This window comes from Homo sapiens, chromosome 11, assembly GCF_000001405.40.
Source record: "Homo sapiens chromosome 11, GRCh38.p14 Primary Assembly".
NCBI classification, from domain to species: Eukaryota; Metazoa; Chordata; class Mammalia; order Primates; family Hominidae; genus Homo; species Homo sapiens.
The window spans coordinates 5,347,402-5,360,036 of NC_000011.10; the positions used below are offsets into that span (position 1 = coordinate 5,347,402).

The window sequence follows — 12,635 nt, forward strand, 5'->3', positions numbered from 1 at the left end:
ACATTCTGCAGTTATCACTAACTATTCCCTTCTTGAGTTTAGCCTACCAGAAGTTTTCTCTTTTCCAGGGGATGCAGCAGGCATACTCATCACATGGTGCTTCAGCCAAGCACACCACATCACTTTGTGATGGCAATTATTATATGCGTTTTACAGTAAGGACTATGAAATGCAATGAGATAAAATAATTCCAAAGTAGCACAGCAAGAGCCAAAGCCACAATGTAGACAAAATATTCAACCTCCAACAGAGGAAAACCTCCAGTAAAAGCCAGGACAGAGACAGAGATCTTGAGTTGTGCTGTTCAAAGCCCAATACCCACAAGGCTGAGGGCACAAATAATAGAGAAAAAGATGGAAGGAAGGAGGTAGGGAGAGAGGGAAGAGAGGAGGGAGCAGAAGAGGGAGGGAGGGAAGAACAATAATTATCTAAATCAGGAATGGTCTCTGGGGAGGAGCTTCTAAAATAAATGTTCCTACCAGCCAGGCTCATGTGCAGATTCTGAAAAGATGATGCCCAAATCTTTCATACGGCTAAAGATGTGAGATACATGACTATGGAACTGAAGAATGGAAGGGAACAAAGTTTCAGGTCAGTGAGGGTATTTAATGAATCTCCTCTGTAAGATCTCATTGCAGGAACCAAGGCAAAAAAAAAACAGAGAGATCGAAGCTGATTTCTTAGCAAGAGAAAAGTAATAGTGTTGTCTGCTAAGAGTAGATATATGTAGTAGGCATGGGTCCTAAAGACTCCCTGACATCTCTAAAACTTGGTTTCTTTGAGAGTTACCTCTTCAAATATAAAAAAGTGAAGGATAGATTCTGGAACACATAAGGCAAACAATTCTACGAACAAACCAGAGCATGGGTGTTGACTCAGGCATGAATTATGGGGTTGTAGTAATTTCTCTCCACCTGACTGATTCTTTAATCTCTCTGGCTTCCATTCTAACCCTGAGAGTCCCCCTGCCCCCAACCCCATGTCTTTTACCTTAGAAGTCCAGATAAGTGCCAAATATAGAATCAACTCTTCCAAATTCTTGAGGAGGTATACCTCTGTAATCATCAGAGGTTCAAATACTTTCTAGAAAAAAAGTCACTATCTGACCATATGACTAATAAACCAATTCAAAATTAAGCTTGGACGGAGCTTGGGTTATGTGTGCCTCTGGATCAGGGGTACAGATTCACATAGCCTGTGTGACTTTAGCACCTGGAAAGGTTTATATTGTGTAACAGGCATCCACTACTCTTCCATCTTCTTTTGCCTGCTTTCTTCTAGCCGCCCTGGCAGCTGATTAGATAGTACCCACCCAGACGGAGGGTGGGTGGGTCTGCCTCTCCCAGTCTACTGACTCAAATGTTAATCTCCTTTGGCAACACCCTTACAGCACACCCAGGAACAATACTTTGCATCCTTCAATCCAATCAAGTTTGCACTCAATATTAACCATCACAGAAAGGATAATAGCCAAAGGTAAGGGGGTAAAAAAAGGATGGAGATACTAAGTGCTTGAGACAGAAAAGAGTGTCAGGAAAAGTGAAGGAAAAAAGCCAAAGGGAAGGTGAGAGAATATATGAAAGTTAACATCTGAATGGGCTCCTGCTGAGGTGTCTGCATAGAGCCATCAGTTTATGCGGCAGAGTTTGAGACTTTGAGAATTAGTTTCTCATTAATAAAAACTCAAGTCTATTCTATGACAGAGACCCTGGAAGAGGGTGAATGGCTGCAGGGATGAGGCAAAGGTTTTAGATTTTTATCCCCTCTGAAACTCACAGATCATCTCATATACCACAAAAGCAACTGAGTGAATCAAGTGAAAGCACTCAGTTTTCAATATGAAAACAGACAAGACAAACAGCTATTTTAAGGATTCTTCCCAAAAAATGAGGTGTATATAATGCCCCAGTCCAATACTTGACACACGGTAGAAATTCAACAATTATTTGTTCCATACATTTGTTTCTCAGCTTTATTTTCCCTATCTGGTATTCCTACTCCTGTTTTTTTTTAATTTATCAATTATATGTTTATTTAGTAGTAATATAACACAATTAACTAGATTAATGTTCTGTATTATCTTTTCCCTCCCAGCTTTATTTAGGTATATTTAAAATTTGCTAAGAAAGCAGACCTCACATATTTTTACTACCAAAAAAATTAAAGTTATTATGTGAGGTGATAGATATATTAATTAGTTTGATTATGGTAATCATTTAACAATGAATACCTATAATAAAACAATAAGTTATATACCTATGTACAATTTTTATTTGCCATACTGCTTCTTTAATCCTGCATAAGCTGAGTATTGTCTGAACCTCTCACTGGCAGGCAGATTGAGCAATAATACCTCCTTTTCTCACTTTTTGAGGACAGAGTTGCTTTCCCCTCTACTTCCCTCAGTCCCAATGCCCCAGGCTCAACGTTACTTTTAGCTATGTCAGAAGTTCCCACATTGGCTCATCAATCTTTTCTCCTTTCCCTTTCCCACCCAGACATATCACATTTTATCTGCTGATTAGAGAAACTATAGTTTAATATCTTTATTTAAAGTCAAACACAGGCTCCTAAAAACCCCATCATCATCTTATATCTGTTCCCAAGGCTTCCACAGAAAAAAAGGAAATCATTTGACACACCTCTGGGTGAATAATCCTGACATGTACTCACTAGAGAAAGAGAAAGGAGGTACTTCTCTGAAACAATAACAAAAACACAAAAATAAAAAAATTATCCACTCTTTACAAAACATTTCCCCTTACTTTGTGTCAAGAGAATGACTGAGAAGACAGAAATCACTAGTAGTCTTTACAGGTTATGTAACCAAATCTCAAGATTAAATTACTTTCCCAAGATCATTATTGTTAGAAAGAGCAGAGCTGAAACTTCAACAAATTCTTCTGAAAATGAAAGTCCAGTAATCTTGGATGCATTCTTTTCATGGACAGAAAGAGGTCTTGTAAATCGTGCATAAATTTACATCAATATGCTCTTTCAATAGTATATGAGATGTATAGTCCAAACCAACCATAAGAGAAGGTGGGCCTATTTTCTCTGGCTCATGCCACCAACACACAATTTATGTATTCTCAGAGGTTGGCTGCCTGCACCAGCTGAAATCTTAGAATTCTAATGAGTCACAGAGCCTTCTCACTTTTGTCAAATCCCATCAGATTCCATAGTTTTAAAAAAAAAATTCTCCTTGATCTTGCCTAAATTACCAATTTTTATTTTTGCATCACCAAGTAGGTGATATGCAACAGTAGTTTGGTGCTATTATCAATTAGTGCCTTCAAAAGCTTATCATCAAATCCACATTTTACTGTTTATTCTTCAATTTATATTATGAAAATTTGAATTCTTTGAAGCAGTGTATCAATAACTAGGGTTATAAAGCTGGGCAACTTAGAGTTCTATGTGCTTTGGAAACACACACAGGTAAGTCACTCTTACGTCATTTTCTAACTACCCAAAAGTCTCTGGAGCTTCATCAATTGAATTTTCCCTCCAGGAATATTGAAGAAAAGTCAATCTCTGAAATTTACTATTTTATTGTATTTGCTCATATATTTCTTACTTGTGTATTTGTTTTTCCATATAATCTTTATATCTGCTTTTCCAATAGTGCTTAGAACCATTTTTCTACTGATCTTTTAGGTCTCACATAGCCTGGGAAACCTTTACATCCACCCTATAATACCACCAGTCAGGATGAAGAGCACCATGAAAAGTGACCTATAAGTTTCAGGCCATTACAGCACTATTCAAATATAGTGATTTCTTCTTTCATTTTGTTTTTATTTTCTGGGTTATATGATTTACAATGAATTCAACAATGTTTATTCTGCATGAATAGCTGTATCCCCAACGTAGTATCCAATAATCTTACATAGAGTAAACCCTAAATAATATCTTCTTTATACATTCTATTTTCCCATACCTAGGATCTCCCAGGAATGACTAAATTATCATCCTTGCTGTCACTGAAAGTCAGGACTGGTGAACATCTTATGAACAGGTAGAATTCTCAAGGAGCAACTTTTATACAACTGATTACTATTGCTTTACCTGGAGTAAATATTTGCCTCTTTGCAAAGCTGGCAATGGGGCTCAATAAGTCTGCTTCCACCTTCCAGCTTACTGGCTTCCCAGGCATGGAGAAGGCACATCACTGGATATTCATCCCATTATTGGCAGCCTACATCTCCATACTTCTTGGCAATGGCACTCTTCTCTTTCTCATCAGGAATGATCATAACCTCCATGAGCCCATGTACTATTTCTTAGCTATGTTGGCAGCTACAGACCTCGGAGTGACATTGACCACAATGCCCACAGTGCTAGGTGTTCTGTGGTTAGATCACAGGGAGATTGGCCATGGAGCCTGCTTCTCTCAGGCCTATTTTATCCATACTCTTTCTGTCATGGAGTCAGGTGTCTTGCTTGCCATGGCTTATGACTGTTTCATTACCATCCGCAGCCCCTTAAGATATACCTCTATCCTGACCAACACCCAGGTAATGAAGATTGGTGTGCGGGTATTGACAAGGGCTGGTCTGTCCATTATGCCAATAGTTGTTCGCCTACACTGGTTTCCCTACTGTCGATCCCATGTACTCTCCCATGCTTTCTGTCTACACCAAGATGTCATCAAGCTAGCCTGTGCTGACATCACCTTCAACCGTCTCTATCCAGTTGTAGTTTTATTTGCAATGGTCTTGTTGGACTTTCTCATCATCTTTTTCTCCTACATTTTGATTCTCAAGACTGTCATGGGCATTGGTTCTGGAGGAGAAAGGGCCAAGGCCCTCAACACATGTGTCTCTCATATCTGCTGCATCCTGGTCTTCTATGTCACTGTAGTTTGTCTGACATTTATTCATAGGTTTGGAAAGCATGTTCCTCATGTCGTTCACATCACAATGAGCTACATCCACTTCCTTTTCCCACCTTTTATGAACCCATTTATCTATAGCATTAAAACTAAGCAGATTCAGAGTGGCATACTTCGTTTATTCTCTCTGCCTCACTCTAGAGCATGACATTGTTTCACTGGTCTCTGAGGAATAATTCAGGGGACCTGGACAGGATGACAATGTTGCCAGCATAAGTAACTAGGGAAAGTCATTTCAATGAGAACTAATCAATCCCTGAGCATTTCAGTGGAAATCAGTCAATCCCTCTGCTACTTAGAACATTATTTTACCCTGCCTGTCTATTGCTGATTTGTATAAGATATATGTACAACACTAAGTACATATCTCAGTGCTCAACTGATATTGTTTTCTCAGGTAATTTAACTCACATTGTTTGATTAGCTTATGGCTGGCACCATACACATACATACATACTTACACACATACATATACACACACAGATACATACCCATACACTATTATATATATTTAATATATATAATACACACTATTATATATACTTAATATATAATAGTGTGTGTATGTATCTGTGTGTGTTTATATATATTATATAAATAATATATATATATGAACCAATTATATATATAATTCTTGGGTCTATGATTTGGGTCACCGGCATTTCAGTCAATGCCCATTGCTCTCCATATGGCTTGCATATATTAGTCCTGTTATACATAGGAATAAGGCATTTTTGGCTTCAGACATACATCCAGTTCTCTTGCATATATGGAGCTGGCTGCTGTTTCTAGAAAATTGCACGTGAAGAAATGAGACTTTCTTCAATGAGAGTAAGCCATTTCCCTCAATTACTTTCTTCAATGAGGGTAAACCATTTCCCTCAATTCAAAATGATGAGTCTAGGGAAAGTATCTCTATGAGAAATGTGTTCAGTTAAAACTTTGGTTAACATTTATCAAATAATATTGATAATAATTTGAAAACAGAGATATAATTTCTAATTCAGATGACCATTGTCTTGATAGTTAATTCCAGTTACTACTGAACAGAGAGATGCATTTTCATAAAGTGGTATGAGAGGTCTGGTTTAGGGGAACATCAGAGATAAGACTAGATAGGGGTGTCTGGCATGTGCAAAATAGCAGAGTTGAAAAACAAACAGTTGGTCATATGTGGAGAGTGGGGAGGAAGGGAGAGGATGGAGGCAATGCTCATAACTAGAAGATAAAATGGCCTTTTCTGGCTCCAAATACTTTTGATTCTTTTCAGAGTCTAGGCATGAGAAGAGGGGGTTTGTGGTCCTATGGCCAGGTGAAGAGCCAGTATCCATGACTCAAATGATAAGTTTTAAATTAATTTTAAAAGAAAGATATTCTTTTGACCAAAATACAGGGTATGATGTGCTTGGACTACACAAGGGGCCACCCAGTGACCAGTCAGCTGGATGCCCCTCATCTCTGGCCTCTGTCATACTGACACTCAGTGATCTATGGCTGCCCACCTACTCTTCATCACAGAAAGGTGGGGATTTTTTAGGATTCTTGGGATGTATAAATAACACAGAGAAAACAAAAATAAAATAATACCTTCACAATAGTTTCCAGGCTAGTAAATGATCTTTATCTGATTAGACCAAAAGATTTTGTTTGTTTTACTCAACTTGGCTGTGTGTGAAATTTGCCTTTCTCTTTTGTAGCTTCTTGACTGTGTGCTCGAGGATGGTAAATATAACATAGTTCTTATTCCCTACTGTATTACAGAACTTCTCACATAGACCATTTTTAACAAAATATAATTTTTCATTAAAATGAATAAATAAAATTTAAAGTGACCCATGTCTTTCTGTGTGTCTGCTAGTTCTTCTGTCTGTTACTGCTCTCTGTATTGTCTTCCAAGATATGGGCAATGTATACTTAATCCTGTTCTTTCTTCCCTTGGGCTTTTGGGAATGAATTCAGGGGGATCTAAGCCACATCAAAGAAAATCTTTCTTGACTCACCCTCTAGGTCCAGTGATCCTGAAACCTGCCATAGCAGGCTAGTATAAAGATAACTAGGATAACAATACATTTTATAAATTCTGTAAATGGACACATTTGACTGACAACCCTGAGTTTCTCTCCTCCCTTTCTGTTCTTCCTTATACTGAAGAGATGTGATGAAGAGACAAGATAAAAAGTCCAAGAGAGGTGAAAGACTGGGACTTGCAGTTCTCTTTGTGGAGTCCCGTGAAACAGAGCAGAGCTCTGGGCTCCCGATGGTCCCTGAACAACATATCAACAGTAGGGTCGAAGACCTCACCCCTCCTCATGATCCTCCCCACTTCCTCCCGCCCCTCCACGCCACCAGCCACACTGAGCGCTCAGCTCCTCCCAGGTCCTGGACCTGCAGCCCTGGCCAACATCAAGAGGGCATCTTTGCCAAGAATGCCTGGAAGAGACTCAGCCACTCACAGGAAAACGTCCTCCAGAAGCCAGGGAAAGCTGCTGAGACAAAAGACAAACAGTTTGAAGAATATGTCCAGAACTTCAAGCCACAAGAAGCAGAGGGTACCAGACCTGAGAGAACTCTGAGGATGTTTAGAAGCAATCAAAGGCATTCAAGAGACCTTGACGAAGCTGAGTCACTGTGTGAAGTCTGTGCGCTGGATTGGTCTGGGCAGGAAGGTGTGAAAATGGTTGGTGAGAAAGGTGATGTGCTCTGGGAGGATATCCACAAAAAACTCATGGATGCATCCTTGCTAACACTGGAAAACTACCTGGACCAATTTCCTGACTTGAAGAATCACATCACCAAGTGCAGCAGGAAGCTTACGGACTATGACAGTGCCTGCCCACCTCCATCGGGCTCAACAGAGCTTCAGGAGGAAGGATAGGAGCCTCTGTCTAAGGCAGAAGTAGAATTTCAGAAAGCATAGAGAAAGTTTGAAGAGTTTAATGGTGACTTACAAGAAAAGTTACCATTATTATAGTCAAGACGAATTGGATTTTATATTAATACTTTCAAAAACATCTCCAGCCTTGAAGCTAAGTTTCATAAGGAAACTGTGGTGCTTTGGTACAAACAGTATGAAGTGATGATGAAACTGGGTGACCAGTATGCTGACAAGGCCTTCAACATTCAAAGAGCAACACCCACTGATTTGGGTCCTCTCCACATTGCAAAGATGTCCTCATGGCCTAGGGAGCTTTCATTCCACCCCAGCCCAACAACTAGTTCAAGTGAAACACTAGCACCTGCTTCTCCTATGCCAGCATGACCTGAGTCACTCTTGCAGTCCTGTATCTGTCTAAAGTCACTTGACAAAGGAACTGCAGCAGGAAAAATATCATCTTCACAGACTGTCCTAAAGTAAGATAGGTGATGTGTACTGTATCCACAAATCATCTGTAAAAGTTATGTTTTCAGTGGTGTGTCATTTCAAATAAACCTTGGGAAATTTCTAACAATTACCTTTAAAAATTAAAAAAAAAAAAAAGAGTAGGGTCAAGGGGTATAGGGTAGCAAAATTTTCTTAAAGGATCAATGTAATGCCCTGCTCTGATTCCTGTAGTGACATAGGCGTCAATATACAGACAAGGTCCTGGAAGTTCTTTTAAAAATCTGCTGCAAGCTGAGGGTCCTGTTAGAAGGAAAACTAACAAACAGAAAGGACATCCACACCAAAAACCCATCTGTACGTCACCATCATCAAAGACCAAAGGTAGATAAAACCACAAAGATGGGGAAAAACAGAGCAGAAAAACTGGAAACTCTAAAAATCAGAGTGCCTCTCCTCCTCCAAAGGAATGCAGCTCCTCACCAGCAACGGTACAAAGCTGGACAGAGAATGACTTTGACAAGTTGAGAGAAGAAGGCTTCAGACGATCAAACTACTCCGAGCTAAAGGAGGAAGCTCGAACCCATGGCAAAAAAGTTAAAAACCTTGAAAATAAATTAGACTAATGGCTAACTAGAATAACCAATACAGAGAAGTCCTTAAAGGACCTGATGGAGCTGAAAACCAAGGCATGAGAACTACATGATGAATGCACAAGACTCAGTAGCTGATTCGATCAACTGGAAGAAAGGGTATCAGTGATGGAAGATCAAATGAATGAAATGAAGCAAGAAGAGAAGTTTAGAGAAAAAAGAATAAAAAGAAATGAACAAAGCCTCCAAGAAATATGGGACTATGTGAAAAGACCAAATCTATATCTGATTGGTGTACCTGAAAGTGACGGGCAGAATGGAACCAAGTTGGAAAACACTCTGCAGGATATTATCCAGGAGAACTTCCCCAATCTAGCAAGGCAGGTCAACATTCAAATTCAGGAAATACAGAGAACGCCACAAAGATACTCCTTGAGAAGAGCAACTACAAGGCACATAATTGTCAGATTCACCAAAGTTGAAATGAAGGGAAAAATGTTAAGGGTAGCCAGAGAGAAAGGTCGGGTTACCCACAAAGGGAAGCCCATCAGAATAACAGCAGATCTCTCAGCAGAAACTCTACAAGCCAGAAGAGAGTGGGGGCCAATATTCAACATCCTTAAAGGAAAGAATTTTCAACACAGAATTTCATATCCAGCCAAACTAAGCTTCATAAGTGAAGGAGAAATAAAATACTTTACAGACAAGCAAATGCTGAGAGATTTTGTCATCACCAGGCCTGACCTAAAAGAGCTCCTGAAGGAAGCACTAAATATGGAAAGGCACAACCGGTACCAGCCACTGCAAAAACATGCCAAATTGTAAAGACCATTGAGGCTAGGAAGAAACTGCATCAACTAATGAGCAAAATAACCAGCTAACATCATAATGACAGGATCAAATTCACACATAACAATATTAACCTTAATGTAAATGGGCTAAATGCTCCAGTAAAAAGACACAGACGGGCAAATTAGATAAAGAGTCAAGACCCATCAGTGTGCTGTATTCAGGAAACCCATCTCATGTGCACACACACACATAGGCTCAAAATAAAGGGATGGAGGAAGATCTACCAAGAAAATGGAAAACAAAAAAAGGCAGGGGTTGCAATCCTCATCTCTGATAAAACAGGCTTTAAACCAACAAAGATCAAAAGAGACAAAGAAGGCCATTACATAATGGTAAAGGGATCAATTCAACAAGAAGAGCTAACTATCCTAAACATATATGCACCCAATACAGGAACACCCAGGTTCATAAAGCAAGTCCTTAGAGACCTACAAAGAGACTTAGACTCTCACACAATAACAATGGGAGACTTTAACACCCCACTGTCAACATTAGACAGATCAACATTAGACAGATCAACGAGACAGAAAGTTAACAAGGATATCCAGGAATTGAACTCAGCTCTGCACCAAGCGGACCTAATAGACATCTACAGAACTCTCCACCCCAAATCAACAGAATATACATTCTTTTCAGCACCACACCACACCTATTCCAAAATTGACCACATAGTTGGAAGTAAAGCACTCCTCAGCAAATGTAAAAGAACAGAAATTATAACAAACTGTCTCTCAGACCACAGTGCAATCAAACTAGAACTCAGGATTAAGAAACTCACTCAAAACCGCTCAACTACATGGAAACCGAACAAATTGCTCCTGAATGACTACTGGGTTCATAACAAAATGAAGGCAGAAATAAAAATGTTCTTTGGAACCAAAGAGAACAAAGACACAACATACCAGAATCTCTGGGACACATTCAAAGCAGTGTGTAGAGGGAAATTTATAGCACTAAACGCCCAGAAGAGAAAGCAGGAAAGATCTAAAATTGACACCCTAACATCACAATTAAAAGAACTAGAGAAGCAAGAGCAAACACATTCAAATGCTAGCAGAAGGCAAGAAATAACTAAAATCAGAGCAGAACTGAAGGAAATAGAGACACAAAAAAACCCTTCAAAAAATCAATGAATCCAGAAGCTGGTTTTTCAAAAAGATCAACAAAATTGATAGACTGCTAGCAAGACTAATAAAGAAGAAAAGAGAGAAGAATCAAATAGATGCAATAAAAAATGATAAAGGGTATATCACCACCGATCCCACAGAAATACAAACCACCATCAGAGAATACTATAAACACCTCTACACAAATAAACTAGAAAATCTAGAAGAAATGGATAAATTCCTTGACACATACACCCTCCCAAGACTAAACCAGGAAGAAGTTGAATCTCTGAATAGACCAATAACAGGATCTGAAATTGAGGCAATAATTAATAGCTTACCAACCAAAAACAGTCCAGGACCAGATGGAGTCACAGCCAAATTCTACCAGAGGTACAAGGAGGAGCTGGTACCATTCCCTCTGAAACTATTCGAATCAATAGTAAAAGAGGGAATCCTCCCTAACTCATTTTATGAGGCCAGCATCATCCTGATACCAAAGCCGGGCAGAGACACAACAAAAAAAGAGAATTTTAGACCAATATCCCTGATGGACATCGATGCAAAAAACCTCAATAAAATACTGGCAAAGCAAATCCAGCAGCACATCCAAAAGCTTATCCACCATGATCAAGTGGGCTTCATCCCTGGGATGCAAGGCTGGTTCAACATATGCAAATCAATAAATGTAATCCAGCATATAAACAGAACCAAAGACAAAAACCACATGATTATCTCAATAGATGCAGAAAAGGCCTTTGACAAAATTCAACAACCCTTCATGCTAAAAACTCTCAATAAATTAGGTATTGATGGGACGTATCTCAAAATAATAAGAGCCATCTATGACAAACCCACAGCCAATATCATACTGAATGGACAAAAACTGGAAGCATTCCCTTTGAAAACTGGCACAAGACAGGGATGCCCTCTCTCACTACTCCTATTCAACATAGTGTTGGAATTTCTGGCCAGGGCAATTAGGCAGGAGAAGGAAAAAAAGGTATTCAATTAGGAAAAGAGGAAGTCAAATTGTCCCTGTTTGCAGATGACACGATTGTATATCTAGAAAACCCCACTGTCTCAGCCCAAAATGTCCTTAAACTGATAGGCAACTTCAGCAAAGTCTCAGGATACAAAATCAATGTGCAAAAATCACAAGCATTCTTATACACCAATAACAGACAAACAGAGAGCCAAATCATGAGGGAACTCCCATTCACAATTGCTTCAAAGAGAATAAAATACCTAGGAATCCAACTTACAAGAGAGGTGAAGGACCTCTTCAAGGAGAACTACAAACCACTGCTGAATGAAATAAAAGAAGATACAAACAAATGGAAGAACATTCCATGCTCATGGGTAGGAAGAATCAATATCATGAAAATGGCCATACAGCCCAAGGTAATTTATAGATTCAATGCCATCCCCATCAAGCTACCAATGACTTTCTTCACAGAATTGGAAAAAACTACTTTAAAGTTCATATGGAACCAAAAAAGAGCCCACATTGACATGCCAATCCTAAGCCAAAAGAACAAAGCTGGAGGCATCACGCTACCTGACTTCAAACTATACTACAAGGCTACAGTAACCAAAACAGCATGGTACTGGTACCAAAACAGAGATATAGACCAATGGAACAGAACAGAGGCCTCAGAAATAATGCCGCATGTCTACAACCATCTGATCTTTGACAAACCTGACAAAAAAAACAAATGGGGAAAGGATTCCCTATTTAATAAATGGTGCTGGGAAAACTGGCTAACCATACGCAGAAAGCTGAAACTGGATCCCTTTCTTACACCTTATACAAAAATTAATTCAAGATGGATTACAGACTTAAATGTTAGACTGAAAACCATAAA

At 39.2% G+C, this 12,635-nt stretch overlaps 2 protein-coding genes and 1 pseudogene across 3 annotated transcripts in view; 2 read left to right on the forward strand and 1 right to left on the reverse strand.

The window, feature by feature from the left end:
• The window catches only part of OR51B5 (olfactory receptor family 51 subfamily B member 5), a 165,335-nt gene that overhangs the window by 7,084 nt on the left and 145,616 nt on the right, over positions 1–12,635 (reverse strand). The gene's annotated exons all lie outside the window — the stretch shown is intronic.
• OR51B6 (olfactory receptor family 51 subfamily B member 6) lies at positions 4,107–5,045 on the forward strand. The gene has a single exon (NM_001004750.1). It carries the CDS (start codon positions 4,107–4,109, stop codon positions 5,043–5,045), a length of 939 nt encoding a protein of 312 aa, NP_001004750.1.
• On the forward strand, positions 7,291–8,220 carry LOC100418885 (amphiphysin pseudogene; annotated as a pseudogene).